The 17,786-nt window shown below is 37.7% G+C and overlaps 1 gene, besides 6 other annotated features; it reads right to left on the bottom strand.

Annotated features, from left to right (window-relative positions):
- Positions 1 to 17,786, bottom strand: part of IGK (immunoglobulin kappa locus) — a 1,378,008-nt gene that overhangs the window by 414,264 nt on the left and 945,958 nt on the right.
- Positions 18 to 568: an enhancer, noted in NCBI's record as "OCT4-NANOG hESC enhancer chr2:89859347-89859897 (GRCh37/hg19 assembly coordinates)". NCBI's record gives its function as "activates a minimal SCP1, AML or CMV promoter by ChIP-STARR-seq in primed H9 embryonic stem cells {active_cell/tissue: H9 hESC(primed)}" and the evidence as "EXISTENCE:reporter gene assay evidence [ECO:0000049][PMID:30033119]".
- Positions 5,475 to 6,322: an enhancer, noted in NCBI's record as "OCT4-NANOG-H3K27ac-H3K4me1 hESC enhancer chr2:89853593-89854440 (GRCh37/hg19 assembly coordinates)". NCBI's record gives its function as "activates a minimal SCP1, AML or CMV promoter by ChIP-STARR-seq in naive H9 embryonic stem cells {active_cell/tissue: H9 hESC(naive)}" and the evidence as "EXISTENCE:reporter gene assay evidence [ECO:0000049][PMID:30033119]".
- Positions 6,323 to 7,172: an enhancer, noted in NCBI's record as "OCT4-NANOG-H3K27ac-H3K4me1 hESC enhancer chr2:89852743-89853592 (GRCh37/hg19 assembly coordinates)". NCBI's record gives its function as "activates a minimal SCP1, AML or CMV promoter by ChIP-STARR-seq in naive H9 embryonic stem cells {active_cell/tissue: H9 hESC(naive)}" and the evidence as "EXISTENCE:reporter gene assay evidence [ECO:0000049][PMID:30033119]".
- Positions 7,173 to 8,020: an enhancer, noted in NCBI's record as "OCT4-NANOG-H3K27ac-H3K4me1 hESC enhancer chr2:89851895-89852742 (GRCh37/hg19 assembly coordinates)". NCBI's record gives its function as "activates a minimal SCP1, AML or CMV promoter by ChIP-STARR-seq in naive and primed H9 embryonic stem cells {active_cell/tissue: H9 hESC(naive and primed)}" and the evidence as "EXISTENCE:reporter gene assay evidence [ECO:0000049][PMID:30033119]".
- Positions 8,021 to 8,870: an enhancer, noted in NCBI's record as "OCT4-NANOG-H3K27ac-H3K4me1 hESC enhancer chr2:89851045-89851894 (GRCh37/hg19 assembly coordinates)". NCBI's record gives its function as "activates a minimal SCP1, AML or CMV promoter by ChIP-STARR-seq in naive H9 embryonic stem cells {active_cell/tissue: H9 hESC(naive)}" and the evidence as "EXISTENCE:reporter gene assay evidence [ECO:0000049][PMID:30033119]".
- Positions 8,871 to 9,720: an enhancer, noted in NCBI's record as "OCT4-NANOG-H3K27ac-H3K4me1 hESC enhancer chr2:89850195-89851044 (GRCh37/hg19 assembly coordinates)". NCBI's record gives its function as "activates a minimal SCP1, AML or CMV promoter by ChIP-STARR-seq in naive H9 embryonic stem cells {active_cell/tissue: H9 hESC(naive)}" and the evidence as "EXISTENCE:reporter gene assay evidence [ECO:0000049][PMID:30033119]".

Genomic DNA, 17,786 nt, shown 5'->3' with positions numbered 1-17,786 from the left:
CAAATAGAGTGAAATAAAATTGAATGGAATAAACTCAAATGCAATGGAATTGAATGGAATGAAGCGGACTCGAAAGGAACGGTATGACATGGAATTGACTTGAATATAATGGAAAGTAATTCAATGGGCTCGAATGGAATGGAATGGAAGGGAATGGAATGGAATGGACTCGAATGGGATGGAATGGAATGGAACGGTCTCGAATGGAAAGGAATAGAATGGACAGGAATCTAATGGGAAGAAATGGAATGGAATGGACTCGAATGGAAAGGAATGGAATGGACTCAAGTTCAATGGAATGGAGTGGAATGGAATGGAATGGAATGGAATGGAATGGATTCAAATAGAATGCAGTGGAATTGAATGGACCCGAAAGCAGTGCAATGGAATGGAATGGAATCGAACAGAAGGTTATAGAACGGAATGGACCCAAATGAATTGGAATGGATTTGAATGAAATGGAATGGAATAGAATGCCATCGAGTGAAGGGGAATGGAAAGGATTCGAATGGAATTGAATGGACTCGAATGAGACTGAATGCAGAGGAATGGACTCGAATGGAATGGAATGGATTGGAATAGACACGAATGGAAAGGAATGTAATAGAATGGAATGGAATGGAATGGAATGGTAAGGAATGAAATGGAATGGAATGGAATGCAATGGACTCGAATTGAATGCAGTTGAGTAAAATGGACTCAAAAAGAATGAAATGGAATGGAATGGAAGGGAATGCAATAGAATGGAAAGAATGGAATGGGATGGAATGGAATGAAAAGGACTCGAAAGGAATGGAATGGAACGGAATGAGTTCAAATGAAATGGAATGGACCCGAATGGAATGGAATGTAATGGAATCAACTCAAGTGGAATAGAATGGAATTAATTGCAATGATTAGAATGAAATGGAAGGCAGTGGAATGAACTTGAATGGCATGCAATGGATTGGAATGGAATGGAATGGACTCGAAAGGAAAGAATTGAGTTGATCCGAATGGAATGGAATGGAATGGAATGGAATGGAGAGGAATGAAATGGAATGGAGTGGAATGGAATGGACATGAATTGAATGGAATGCAATGGAATGGAATGAACTACAATGGAATTGAATGGAAGGAAATGGAATGGATTGGAATGGAAATGAATGGAATAGAATGGAAGGCAATGGAATGGATTTGAATGGAATGAAATGGAATGGAATGCAATGGAACTGAATGGAATAGAATGGAAGGCAATGGAATGGATTTGAATGGAATGAAATGTAATGGAATTGAATGGAATAGAATGGAAGGAAATAGAATGGAATCGAATGAAATGGAATGTAATGGACTTGGATGGAATGGGATGGACTTGAGTGCAATGTATTGGTAGGGAATGGACTCGAATGGAATGGAGTGGAATGGATTTTAATGGACTGGAACGGAATGGAATGGATTTGAGTCGAATGGATAATAACGGTGTGAAATGGACTTGAAAAGAATGGACTGTAATGGAATGAAACCGACTCGAATGGAATGGAATAGAAACGAAAGTACTTGAATGGAATGGGAAGGAATGGAATGGAATGGAATGGATTTGAATAGTATGGAAAAGCATTAAATGGCCTCAAAAGAATGGAATGGAATGGAATGGAATGGAATGGAATGGACTGAAATGTAATTGAATGGAATGCAATCCAATGGAATGGAATGGATGTAAATGGAATGGAATGGAAATGAATCGAGTGGAATGGAATGGCAAGGACTCGAATGTAATGAAACGGAACGTAGTGGACTCGAATGGAATGGAATGGAATGGACCCGATTGGAATGGAATGGAACGGAATGGACTCAAGTGGAATGGAGTGGTGTGGACTCAAATGGGATGGAATGCAATCTGGTGGACTCGAATGGAATGGAATATAATGGACACGAATGGAATGGACCCGTATGTCATGGAATGGAATTGAAAACACTCGACTCGAATGGGAAGGAATGGAATGGAATGGATTCGAAAGGATAAGAATGGAATGGATTCGAAAGGATAGGTATGGAATGGACCTGAATGGAATGGAACGGAATGAGCTTGAATGGAAAGGAATGGAATGGAATGGAGTGGACTCATGTGGAATGGAATGGAATGGTCTCGAATGGAATGGAATGGAATGGAATGGACTCATATGGAATCAAAAGGAATTGACCAGAATATAATGGAATGGAACGGACTCGAATTTAACGGAATTTAATGGAATCGAATGGAATTGAATAGACTCGAATGGTAAGGATTGAATGGAATGGAATGGAAAATCATGGAACCGAATGGAATGGAATGGAATTTATTGTAATGGAATGCAATGGACTCGAATGGAGTGGAATGGATTGGAATGGAATGGACACGATAAGGATGGAATGTGATGAAACGTACTGGAATGAACTGGAATGGAATCAACCCGAATGGAATGGAATGGACTCGAATGGAGTGCGATGGACTCATCCCGATTGGAATGGAAGGGAAAGCAATGGAATGGAATGGAATAGAATGGAATGGAATGGAATGGAATGGGATGGAATGGAATGGAATGGAATGGAATGGAATCGAGTGGATTGTAATGGAATCGAATAGACTAGAATGGAACGGAATGCATTCGAATGGAAAGGAAATCAATGGACCCGAAGGGAATGGAATGGAATGGAATGGAATGGAATGGAATGGAATGGAATGGAATGGATTGGACTAGAATGGAATGGAATGGTATGGAATGAAATGCACTTGAATGGAGTACAGTGGAATGGAATGGAATGGACTTGAAAGGAATGGGATGGAAATGAATGGAATGGAATGGAAAGAAAGGACTTGAATGGATTACAATGGAAATTAATGGAATGGACTCTAATGGAATGGAATGGAAAGGAATCCAATGGAATAGAATGAAATGGAATAGACTCGAATGGAATGGAATGGAATGGAATGGAATGGAATTGAATATAATGGAATGCAATGGAATAGACTTGAAAGGAATGTAATGGAATTGACTCCAATGGAATTCAACGGAATGAACCCGAGTTAAATGGAGTGGAATTTAAAGGAAGGGAATGGTCTCGAATGGGATGGAATGGAATGGACTCAGATGGAATAGCATGGAGTGGAATGGACTCGAATGCAATGTAATGGAATGGATTGGAATGGAATGGACTCGAATGCAATGTAATAGAATGGACTAGAATGGAATGGACTCGAATGGAATGAAATGGAACAAAATGGAATGGAACGGATTGGAATCAATCGGAATGGAATGGAATGGAATGGAAGTAATGAAATGAAGCGGACTTGAATGGAATGGAGTTAAATGGAATGGAATCAAATGGAATGGAATCGAATGGAATTGAAACGAATGGAATGGAATTGAATGGAATCAAAAGGAATAGAATGGAATGGAGTGTAACGGAAAGATATAGAATGAAATGGAATGGAATGAATTCGAATGGAATATACTGTAATGTAATGGACAGGAAGGTAATGGAATCAAATGGAATGGACTGGGGTGGAGTGGACTCTAACGGAATGGAATGGAATGGAAAGAAACATAATGGAGTGGAATAGGATGGAAAGGAAAGCAATGGAATGGATTTGAATGAAATAGAATCGAATGGAATGGCATCAAACGGAGTGTAACGGAAAGGAATGGACTCGAGTGCAATATATTCAAATGGAATAGATTCGAATTTATTGGTATCAAATTAAATGGAATGGAATTGAATGGAATGGAACCTAATGTAAATGACTCGAATGGAATGGAATCAAATAGAATGGAATCAAAAGGAATTGTCTCGAATGTAATTTATTCGAATAGAATAGAATTGAATGTAATGCAATAGTATGGAATGGAATTGAATGGAATGGGATTGAATGGAGTGGACCGGATTGGAATGGACAGGAATAGAACGGACTAGAATGTAAAGGATTGAAATGTAATTGATTTGAATGCAATGGAATCGAATGGAATGTAATCAAATGGAATGGAATGCAACGGAATGGAATGGAGTGGAATTGAGTGTAATGGAATTAAATGGAATGGAATTAAATGGAATGGAATCGAATGGAATGGAATCAAATGGAATGGACTGGAATTGAATGGCATCGAATGGAATGGAATTGAATGTAATCGAAAGGAATAGAATGGAATGGAGTGTAATGGAAACATATCGAATGGAATGGAATAGACCCGATTGGAATGGAATCAAATGGAATGGAATCTAATGGAATGGTATCAAATGGAAAGGAATTGAATAGAATCGAAAGGAATAGAATGGAAGGGATTGTAATGGAAAGATATTGAATGTAATGGAGTGGAATGGAATGGACTCGAATGGAATGGAATGGGGAGGAATGGACTCGAATGGAATGGAAACGAATGGAATGGAATGGAATGGAAAGGAATAGAATGGAATGGAATTAGATGCATCTGAATGGAATGAAAAGGAGTCGAATGGAATATAATTGAATGGAATGGCTTCGAATGGAATGGAATAGAATGGAATGGAATGGAATGGACTCGAATGGAATAGACTCGAATGGAACAGAAACAAATGGAATGGCATCGAATGGAATGCAATAGTATGGAATGGAATCTAATGGAGCACAATCAAATGGAATTAACCGGAATGGAATGGACTGGAATAGAACAGACTCGAATGCAATGAATTGCAAAGTAATTGATTTGAATGGAATGGATTCAAATGTAATGTAATAAAATGGAATGGAATTGTATGCAATGAATTGGAATAGAATGAAATGCAATAAAATGCAAAGGAGTGTAATTGAGTGGAATGGAAAGATATGGAAAGGAATGGAATGGAATGGAATTGAATGGAATGGAATGGACTCGAATGGAATGTACTGGAACAAAATGGAATCGAACGGATTGGAATAGAATGGAGTGGAATGGAATGGAATGGCCTCGAATGCAATGGACACGAATGAAATGGAAATGAATGGAATGGAATAGAATGGAATGGAATTGTATGGAATCAAAAGGAATAGAACGGAATGGAGTGTAACGGAAAGATGTCGAATGGAATGGAATGGACTCGAATGGAATGGAGTCGAATAGAATGGAATGGAATGGAATGGAAGTATATCGGATGGAATGGAATGGAATGGAATGGACTCGAATAGAATGGACTCAAATGGAATGGAATGGAATGGAATGCAATGGAAAGGAATGGAAAAGAATAGAAAGGAATAGAATGGAATGGAGTTTAATGGGAAGATATCGAATGGAATGGAATGGACTCGAATGGAGAGGAATGGACTCGAATGTGATGGAAACGAATGGAATGGTATGGAATGGAATGGAATGGAATGGAATGGAATGGAATGGAATGGAATGGAAAGGAATAGCTTGGAATGGATTTGGATGGAACGAAATGGAATGTAATGGTGTCGAATGGAATAGAATCAAATGGAATGACATCGAATGGAATAGAATGGAATGGAATGGAATGGACTTGAATGGAAGAGAATCGAATTGAATGGCATCGAATGGAATGCAATGGAATGGAATGGAATTGACCCAAATGTAATAGACTCAAATGGAATGGACCCAAATAGAATGTACTCGATAGGAATGGACTCGAATGGAATTTGTTCGAAAAGAATGGAATCGAATGGAATGAAATAGTATGGAATGGAATCAAATGGAATGGAATCGAATGGAATTTAATCAAATGGAATGGAATGGAATGCAATGGAATGGAATAGAATGGAATGCAATGGAATGGAGCAGAGTCGAATTGAGTGGAATGGAATATGATCAAATGGAATGGAATTAAATGGAATGGACTGGAATCGAATGGAATTGAATGGAATGGACAAGAGCATAATGGAATCGAACAGGACGGAATGGAATGGAATGGAATGGACTCGAATGGAACAGAGTCGAATGGAAGGCAGTCGAATGGAATGGAATGGAATGGAATTGAATGGAATCAAAAGGAATAGAAAGGAATGGAGTGTAATGGAAAGATATTGAATGGAATGGAATGGAATGGATTGGACTCGAATGGAAAGGACTCAAATGGAATGGTCTCAAACGGAATGAACTGGAGTGGAATGGACTCGATTGGAATGGAAACGAATGGAATGGAATGGAACGAAATGGAACCTAATGGAATGAAATGTAAAGGAATAGAATTGAATGGAATCTGATGGAATGGAATGAAATGGGATGGAATCGAATGGAATAGAATCCAATGGAATGGCATCGAAAAGAATGGAGTGGAATGGAATGGACTCAAATGGAATGCGCTCAAGTGGAATAGAATTGAATGGAATGGCATCGAATGGAATGGAATGGAATGGAAAGGAATGGATCCAAATGTAATGGACTCGAATGGAATGGACTCAAATAGAATGGACTCGAAAGGAATGGTGTCGAATGGAATTGATTCGAATGAAAAGAATGGAATGGAAAGGAATGGATCCAAATGTAATGGACTCGAATGGAATGGACTCAAATAGAATGGACTCGAAAGGAATGGTGTCGAATGGAATTGATTCGAACGCAATGGAAACGAATGGAATGCAATAGTATGGAACGGAATCGAATGGAATGGAATCAAATGGAATGGACTGGAATTCAATGGAGTGGAATAGAACGGACGTGAATGTAATGGATTGCAATGTAATTGATTCGAATGGAATGGAATCGAATGGAATGTAATCAAATGGAATGGAATGGAAAACAATGGAATGGAATAGAATGGAATGCAACGGAATGGAACGGAGTGGAATCGAGTGAAATGGAATGGAATTGAATGGAATGGAATCTAATGGATTGGACTGGAATGGAATGGACTCGAAGGGAATGGACCAGAAGAAAATGGAATCGAACTGATTGGAATCTAACGGAACAGAATGGAATGGAATGGAATCGAATGGAACAGAGTCGAATGGAATGGAATCGAATGGAATGGAATTGAATGGAATCGAAGGTAATGGAATCGAATGGAATGGAATTGAATGGAATTGAAAGGAATAGAATGGATTGAAGTGTAATGGAAAGATATCGAATGGAATGGAATGGACTCGAATGGAATGGTCTTGAATGGAATGAACTTGAGTGGAGTGGATTCCAATGGAATGGAAACGAATGGAATGGAATGGAACGGAATGGAATGGAACGGCAAGGAATAGAATTGAATGGAATCTAACCGAACGGAATGGAATGGAGTGGAGTCGAATGGAATAAAATCAAATGGAATGGTATTGAACAGAATGGAATGGAATTGACTCGATGGGAATGGACTCGAATGGAATAGAATCGAATGGAATGGCATAGAATGGAATGGAATGGAACGGAACGAAATGTAATGGACTCGAATGGAATGTTCTCAAATGGAATTGATTTGAATAGAATGGATTCGAATGGAATGCAATACTATGTAATGGAGTCAAATGGAATGGAATTGAATGGAATGGACCAGAATGGAATGGACTGCAATAGAACAGACTCGAATGTAATGGATTGCAATGTAATTGATTCGAATGGATTGGAATCGAATGGAATGTAATCAAGTGGAATGCAATGGAACGCAATGTAATTTAATAGTATAAAATGCAATGGAATGGAAAGAATGGAATTCAATGGAATGGAATAGAGTGGAATCGAGTGGAATGGAATCGAATGGAATGGAATCGAATGGAATGGAGTGGATTGGAATGGACTCGAATGGAATGGACTGGAACAAAATGGAATCAAACGGATTGGAATCGAACTGAACGGAATGGAATGGAATGGAATGGAATGGAATTGGATGGAATGGACTCAATCGGAATGGAATCGAATGGAATGGAATCAAATGGAATAGAAACAAGTAGAATGGAATTGAATGGAATTGAAGGGAATATAATGGAATGGACTGTAATGGAAAGTCCTCGAACGGAGTGAAATGGAATGGACTCGAATGGAATATACTGGAATGGAATGGACTCGAATGGAATGGCCTGGAGTGGAATGTACTCGAATGGAATGCAATGGAATGGAATGCTAAGGAATAGAATGGAATGGAATCGGAAGGAATGGAATGGAATGGAATGGAGTCAAATGGAATAGAATCTAATGGAATGGCCTTGAATGGAATGGAATGCAATGGAATGGTATAGTCTTGAATGTAATGCACTCAAGTGGAATAGAATGGAATGGAATGGCATCGAATGGAATGGAATGGAATTGAAAGGAATGGGTTGGAATGGAGTGGAATGGACCCAAATGTAATGGACTCGAATGGAATGGACTCAAATAGAGTGGACTTGAATGGAATGGTCTCGAATGGAATTTATTCAAATAGAATGGATTCGAATGAAATGCAATAGTATGGAATGGAATTAAATGAAATGGACTGCAGTGGAATGGAATGGACTGGAATAGAACGGACTCGAATGTAATTGATTGCAATTTAATTGTTTCAATTGGAATGGAAGCGAATGGAATGTAATCAAGTGGGATGGAATTGAGTGCAATGAAATGGAATAGAATGGAATGCAGTGGAAAGGAATGGAGTGGAATCGAGTGGAATGGAATCAAATGGAATGGGATCGAATGCAATTGACTGGAATGGAATGGAGTCGAATGGAATGGACTTGAACCAAATGGAATATAAAGGATTGGAATCAAATGGAATGGAAAGTAATGGAATGGAATGAAATGGACTCGAATGGAATGGAGTCGACTGGAATGAAATTGAATGGAATGGCATCAAATGGAATGGAATTGAATGGAATTGAAAGGAACAGAATGGAAAGAAGTGTAATGGAAAGATATCGAATGGAGTGGAATTCAATGGAATGGACTCGAAAGGAATAGAATGGAATGGAATGGACTCGAATGGAATGGACTAGAGTGGAATTGACTCGAATGGAATGGAAACGAATGGAATGTAGTGGACTGGAGTGGAATGGCTCGAATGGAAGGGAAACGAATGGAATGGAATGGAATGGAACGGAATGGAATGGAAACGAATGGAATGGAATGGAATGGAATGGAAAGGAAAGGAATAGAATGGAATGGAATCTGATGGAACGGAATGGAATGGAATGGAGTCAAATGGCATAGAGTCGAATGAAATGACTTCGAATGGAATGGAATGGAATGGAATGGAATGGAATGGAACGGAATGGAATGGACTTGAATGGAATGGATTCGAATGGAATAGAATCGAATGGAATTTCATCGAATGGAATGGATTGGAATGGAGTGGAATGGACCCAAATGTAATGGAGTGGGATGGAATGGACTCAAATATAATTGACTCAAAAGGAATGGTCTCGAATGGTATTTATTCGAATAGAATGGAATCGAATGGAATGCAATAGTATGGAATGGAATCGAATGGAATGGAACTGAATTTGATGGAATGGAATAGAACGGACTCTAATGTAATGGATTGCAATGTAATTGATTCCAATGGAATGGATTCGAATGGAATACAATCAAATGGAATGGAATGGAATGCAATGGAATGGAATGGAATGGAATGCAATGGAAAGGAATGGAGTGTAATCGAATGGAATGGCATCGAATGGAATGGAATGGATCGAACGCAATGGAATAGAATGGAATGGACTGGAATGGAGTGGACTTGAATAGAATGGACTGGAGTGGAATGGACTCGAATGGAATGGAAATGACTGCAATGGAATGGAATGGAAAGGTATAGAATGGAATGGAATCGGAAGGAACGGAATGGAATGGAATGGAGTCGAATGGAATAGAATCGAATGGAATGGCATAGAATGAAATGGAATGGAATGGAATCGAATGGAATTCCATTCGATTCCATTCGATGATGATTCCAATCGATTCCATTCGGTGATGATTCAATTCGATTCCAATTGACGATGATTGCATTCAATACCATTCGATGATGATTCCGCTCAATTCAATTCAATGATGATTCCATTCGATTTCATTTGATGAATCTATTCAATTCCATTTAATGATGTTTCAATTCTATTTCATCTGTTGATTCCATTGGATTTCATTCGATGATGTTTCCTTTCGATTCCATTCGATGATGATTCCATTCAATTGCATTCGATGATGATTTCAATCGTGTCCATTCGAACATTCCATTCGATTCCTTTTGATGATGATTCCATTCGGGTCCATTCGATGATTCCATTCCATTCCATTCGATGATGATTCCATTCGATTCCATTCGATGATTCCTTTCGATTCCATTTGACGATGATTCCCTTTGAGTCCATTCGATGATTCCATTAGATTGAATTTGATGATGATTCCATTCGAGTCCATTCGATGACTCCATTCCATTCCACTCGATGATGATTCCATTCTATTCCATTCGATGATTCCTTTCGATTCCATTCGATGATGATTCCCTTCGAGGCAATTCGATGATTCCATTAGATTGAATTTGATGATGATTCCATTTGATTCCATTCGATGATTCCATTCGATTCCATTCGATGATGATTCCATTAGATACCATTCACTGATTCCTTTCTTTTCTATTTGATGATGATTCCACTCATGTCCATTCGATGATTCCATTCGAGTCCATTATATTATTCCCTTAGATTCCATTCGTTTATGTTGCCTTTTGATGCCATTTGGTGGTTCCATTTGATTCAATTCGATGATGTTTCCATTCGAGTCCATTCGATGATACCATTCGATTCCATTCGTTGATCATTCCATTCGTGTCTATTCAATGATTCCATTCGATTCCATTCGATGATGATTCCATTCAGGTCCATTCGATGATTCCTTTCCATTCCATTCGAGGAAGATTCCATTTGAGTCCATTCGATGATTCCATTTGATTCCATTTGATAATGATTCCATTCGAGTCCATTCGATGATTCCATTCGATTCCATTAGATGATGTTTCCATTTGAGTCCATTGATTATTCCATTCCATTCCATTCAATGATTCCTTTCGAGTCCATTTGATGATTCTATTCGATTCCATTCGATAATTCCTTTCCATTCCATTTGATGTTGTTTCCATTCGAGTCCATTCGATGATTATAACAGTCGATTGTATTCCATGATTCCATTCGATTACATGTGATAATGATTCCATTGGAGACCACTCGATGTTTCCATTCAATTCATTCGATGATGATTCCATTCAATTCCATTCGATGATTCCATTAGATTCAATTTGATGATGATTCCATTCGATTCCATTCCATGATGATTCCATGCAATTCCATTCGATGATGACTCCTTTTGGTTCCATTTGATGATGATTCCTTACGGTTCCGTTCAATGATGATTCCTTTGGATTCAATTCGATGATGATTCCACTCGATTCCGTTTGTTTTTTTTTATTATTATACTTTAAGTTTTAGGGTACATGTGCACATTGTGCAGGTTAGTTACATACGTATACATCTGCCATGCTGGTGTGCTGCACCCACTGACTCGTCATCGAGCATTAGGTGTATCTCCCAATGCTATCCCTCCACCCTCCCCCCACCCCATAACAGTCCCCAGAGTGTGATATTCCCCTTCCTGTGTCCATGTGATCTGATTGTTCAATTCCCACCTATGAGTGAGAATATGCAGTGTTTGGTTTTTGGTTCTTGTGAGAGTTTACTGAGAATGATGGTTTCCAATTTCATCCATGTCCCTACAAAGGACATGAACTCATCCTTTTTTATGGCTGCATAGTATTCCATGGTGTATATGTGCCACACTTTCTTAATCCAGTCTATCATTGTTGGACATTTGGGTTGGTTCCAAGTCTTTGCTATTGTGAATAATGCCACAATAAACATACGTGTGCATGTGTCTTTATAGCAGCATGATTTATAGTCCTTTGGGTATATACACAGTAATGGGATGGCTGGGTCAAATGGTATTTCTAGTTCTAGATCCTTGAGGAACCGCCACACTGACTTCCACAATGGTTGAACTAGTTTACAGTCCCACCAACAGTGTAAAAGTGTTCCTATTTCTCCACATCCTCTCCAGCACCTGTTTCCTGACTTTTTAATGATCGCCATTCTAACTGGTGTGAGATGGTATCTCATTGTGGTTTTGATTTGCATTTCTGTGATGACCAGTGATGGTGAGCATTTTTTCATGTGTTTTTTGGCTGCATAAATGTCTTCTTTTGAGAAGTGTCTGTTCATGTCCTTTGCCCACTTTTTGATGGGGTTGTTTGTTTTTTTCTTGTAAATTTGTTTGAGTTCATTGTAGATTCTGGATATTAGCCCTTTGTCAGATGAGTAGGTTGCGAAAATTTTCTCCCATTTTGTAGGTTGCCTGTTCACTCTGATGGTAGTTTCTTTTGCTGTGCAGAAGCTCTTTAGTTTAATTAGGTCCAATTTGTCAATTTTGGCTTTTGTTGCCATTGCTTTTGGGGTTTTAGACATGAAGTCCTTCCCCATGCCTATGTCCTGAATGGTAATGCCTAAGTTTTCTTCTAGGGTTTTTATGGTTTTAGGTCTAACGTTTAAGTCTTTAATCCATCTTGAATTGATTTTTGTATAAGGTGTAAGTAAGGGATCCAGTTTCAGCTTTCTACATATGGCTAGCCAGTTTTCCCAGCACCATTTATTAAATAGGGAATCCTTTCCCTATTGTTTGTTTTTCTCAGGTTTGCCAAAGATCAGATAGTTGTAGACATGCGGCATTATTTCTCAGGGCTCTGTTCTGTTCCATTGATTTATATCTGTGTTTTTGTACCAGTACCATGCTGTTTGGGTTACTGTAGCCTTGTAATATAGTTTGAAGTCAGGTAGTGTGATGCCTCCAGCTTTGTTCTTTTGGCTTAGGATTGACTTGGCGATCCATGCTCTTTTTTGGTTCCATATGAACTTTAAAGTACTTTTCTCCAATTTTGTGAAGAAAGTCATTGGTAGCTTGATGGGAATCATTCCATTCCATTTGATGATGATTCTTTTTGATTCCATTCGATGATGTTTCCATTCGATTTCATTCGATGATTCCATTCGATTCCATTCAATGATGATTCCATTCGAGTTCATTGATTATTCTATTCCGTTCCATTCGATGATTCCATTCAAGTCCATTCAAAGATTCTATTTGTTTCCATTCGATAATTCCTTTTGATTCCATTTGATAATTATTCCATTCAAGACCATTCGATGATTCCATTCAAGTCATTCGATGATGATTCCATTCGATTCCATTCGATGATGATTCCATGCGATTCCATTCGATGATGACTCCTTTCGTTTCCATTTGATGATGATTCCATTCGGTTGCATTCGATGATTTTTCCTTTGGATTCCATTTGATGATGATTCCATTTGACTCCATTTGATGTTGATTCCTTTCAATTCCATTCAATGATGATGCCATTTGATTCCATTTGATCATGATTCCTTTCGGTTTCATTCGATGATTCCATTCGATTCCATATGATGATGATTCCATTCGTGTACATTTGATGATTCCATTCGATTCCATTCGATGATGATTCCATTCGATTCCATTCGATGATTCCATTCGCTTCCTTTCGATGATTCCATTCGCTTCCTTTCGATGATTATTTCATTCGAGTCCATTCGGTGATTCCTTTTGATGCCATTTGAAGATGATTCCATTCGTGTCCATTCGATGATACCACTTGATACCATTCGTTCATGATTCCATTCGAGTGCATTCAGTGATACCATTTGATTCCATTTGATGATGATTCCATTCGATTCCATTCAATTCCATTCTATGATGATTCCATTCGAGTCCGTTTGATAATTCCATTGGACTCCATTTGCTGATGATTCCATTCAATGAGTCCATTTGATTCTATTTGATGATGATTCCCTTCGATTTTGTTCAATGCTGATTCCATTCAATTCCATTCGATCATTCTATTTGATTCCATTCGATGATTCCATTCGATTACATTCAATGATGATTCCATTTGATTCCATTCAATGATTCCATTCGATTCTATTTGAAGATGATTCCATTCAATTCCATTCGATGATGACTGCATTCGATTCCATTTGATGATTTCATTTGATTCCATTCGATGATGATTCTTAACAATTCCATTCAATGATTTCATTCGATTCCATTCGATGTTGATCCCATTCGATTCCATTCAATGATGATTCCATTCGAGGCCATTCGATGATTCCATTTGATGATGATTCCATTTGATTCGTTCTGATGATTATTCCATTCGAGTCCATTCGGTGATTCCTTTTGATGCCAATTGAAGATGATCCCATTTGAGTCCATTCAATGATACCATTCGATACCATTCATTGATGATTCCATTCGATGATTCCATTCAATTCTATTTTATGAAGATTCCATTCGAGTCCATTTGATGATGCCATGGGACTCCATTTGACGATGATACCAATCAATGATTCCATTTGATTCCATTCGATGATGCTCTCATTCGATTTTGATCAATGCTGATTCCTTTCAATTCCATTCGATGATTCCATTTGATTCCATTCGATGATTCCATTCAATTCCATTCGATGATGATTCCATTCGATTCCTTTTGATGATGACTGCATTCGATTCCATTTAATGATTCCATTTGGTTCCATTTGATGATGATTCTGATTGATTCCATTTGATGATTCCATTCGATTCCATTCGATGATTCCATTTGATTCCATTTGATAATGATTCCATTCGAGTCCATTTGATGATTCCATTCCAGCCCATTCGATAATTCCATTTGAGCCCAATCGATGACTCCATTCGAGACCATTCAGTCATTTATGAGTCCATTCAATGATGATTCCATTCGAGTCCATTCAATGATTCCATTCGAGTCCATTTGATAATTCCATTTGAGTTCATTCGATCATTGCTTTTGATTCAATTCAATGATATTCCATTCAAGTCCTTTAGATGATTCCATTCGATTCTCTTTGATGATGATTCCATTAGTGTCCATTCAATGATTCCATTCCATTTCATTTGATGACGATTCCTTTCGAGTCCATTATATGATTCCACTCGATTCCATTTGATCATGATTCCATTCGAGTCCAATCAGTGATTCCATTCCATTCCATTCGATGATGATTCCATTCGATTCCTTTCGATGATTCCATTCGATTCCATTCGATGATGATTTCATTTGAGTCCATTCGATGATTCCATTTGATTTCATTCAATGATGATTCAATTCCAGCCCATTCGATGATTCTATTCGAATCCATTTGATGATTGCTTTTGATTATATTTGATGATGATTCCATTCGAGTCAAATCGATGATTCCATTCGAATCCATTCGATGATCATTCACTTCGAGTCCATCTGATGATTCCATTTGATTCCATTCTCTGATGATTACATTCGAGTCCATTCGATGATTCCACTCAATTCCATACAATGATGATTCTGTTCAGTTCCATTCGATGATTCCATTCTATTCCATTCAATGATGATTCCTTTCGAGTACGTTAGATGATTCCATTTGATTCCATTCGATGATGATTCTATTCATGCCCATTAGGTTATTTCACACGAATCCATTCATTGATGATTCCATTCGAGTCCATTTGATGATTCTATTTGATTCCATTCGATGATGTTTCCATTCCATTGCATTCTTTGGTGATTCCATTCAATTCCATTCATTGATTCCATTCCATTCAATTTGACATTTATTCCATTTGATTCCCTTCTATTATTCCACTCAATTCCACTTGATGATGATTCCATTCGAATTCATTCGATGATTCCATTTGATTCCATTCAATGATGATTGCCTTCGATTCCATTCAATGATTCCATTTGATACCATTAGATGATGATTCCATTCGATTCCATTTGATTATTCCATTCGAGGATTCCATTCAATTCCATTTGATGATGATTCCTTTCGAGTCCATTCAGTGATTTCATTAGAGTCCATTCAGTGATTTCATTCGAGTCCATTCAATGATTCCATTCGATTCCATTTGATGATTCTATTCAAGTCCATTTCATCATTACATTCGGGTCCATTCAATGATTCCATTCGATTCCTTTTGATGATGATCCCATTCGATTCCATTCGATGATGATTCCATTCGAGCCCATTCGATGATTCCATTCAATTCCATTCAATGACTCCAAACGATTTCATTTGATGAAGATTCCATTCGACTCTTTTTGATGATTCCATTCAATTCCATTCAATGATTCCATTTGATTTCATTCGATTATTCTATTCTAGTCCATTCGATGATTCCATTTGATTCCATTCGATTTTATTTCCATTTGATTCCGTTTGATGAGGATTAAATTCGATTCTGTTCGATGATTCTGTTCGATTCAATTCAATGATTCCCTTCGATTCCTTTTGATGATGATTCCATTCAATCCATGCGGTGATGATTCCATTCGATTCCATTCGATGACGACTGCATTCGGTTCCATTCGATGATGATCCCCATAGATTCCATTTGATTTTTCAATTTGATTCCATTCGTTGATGATTCCATTTGATTACATTAGATGATGATTCCATTAGATTCCATTCGATGATGATTCCATTCAATTCCATTTAATGATGATTCCATTCAATTCCATTCAATGATGATTCCATTCTATTCCATTTGATTCCATTCGATTCCATTCGATGATGATTCCATTCATATCCATTCAATCATTTCATTTGATTGCATTTGATGAGGATTCCATTCAATTCCATTCTATGATTCCATTCGATTACCTTCAATGATCATTCCGTTTGAATCCATTTGATGATTCCACTCGATTACATTCCATGACTCCGTTCTATCCCATTTGATGTTTCCCTTCGATTCCTTTTGACGATGATTCCATTCGTTTCCATTCGATGATGCTTCCATTCGATTCCATTCAATGATGATTCCATTCGTTTCCATTCGATGATGCTTCCATTTGATTCCTGTCAAAGATTCCATTCAATTCCATTCGATGATTTTTCCATTCGATTCGATTCGATGATGAGCCATTTGACTCAATTCCATGATTGTTCCTTTTGATTCAATTCGATGGTGTTTCCATTCAATTCCATTCGATGATGATTCCATTCGATTCTCTTCGGCAATGATTCCATTCAAGTCCGTTCGATGATGATTCCATTCTAATTCATTTGATGCTTCTATTCGATTCCATTTGATGATGATTACGTCTGATTCCATTCGATGATTCCATTCCATTCCATTCGGTGATTATTCCAATTGATTCCATCTGATGATGATTCCATTCGATTTTATTTGATGACGATTCCATTCAATTTCATTCGATGATGATTCCACTCGATTTCATTCGATGCTGATTCCTTTCAATTCCATTAAATGATTCCATTTGTTTCCATTTGATGATTCCATTCGATTACATTCAACAATGATTCCATTCGAGTCCATTCAGTCTTTTCATTTGAGTCCATTGTATGATGATTCCATTCGAGTCCATTCGATGATTCCATTCGAGCCCATTTGATAATTCCATTTGAGTCCTTTCGTTGATTGCTTTTGATTCCTTGTGATAATATTCCATTCGAGTCCATTTAATGATTCCATTCGATTCTATTTGATGATGATTCCATTCGTGTCTATTAAGTGATTCCATTCGATTTCATTCGATGATGATTCCTTTCAAGTCCATTAGATGATTCCATTTGATTCCATTTGATGATGATTCCATTCGAGTCCATTCAGTGATTCCATTCGATTCCATTTGATGATGATTCCATTCAATTCCATTCAATGATTCCATTAAATTCCATTCTATGATTATTTCATTCGAGTCCATTTAATGATTCCATTGTGTTCAATTCGATGATGATTACTTTGGAT

This window comes from Homo sapiens, chromosome 2, assembly GCF_000001405.40.
Source record: "Homo sapiens chromosome 2, GRCh38.p14 Primary Assembly".
Classification (NCBI taxonomy): Eukaryota; Metazoa; Chordata; class Mammalia; order Primates; family Hominidae; genus Homo; species Homo sapiens.
The sequence above is the reverse complement of the archived record's forward strand: the minus strand, read 5'-3'. Positions and strand labels throughout refer to the sequence as shown.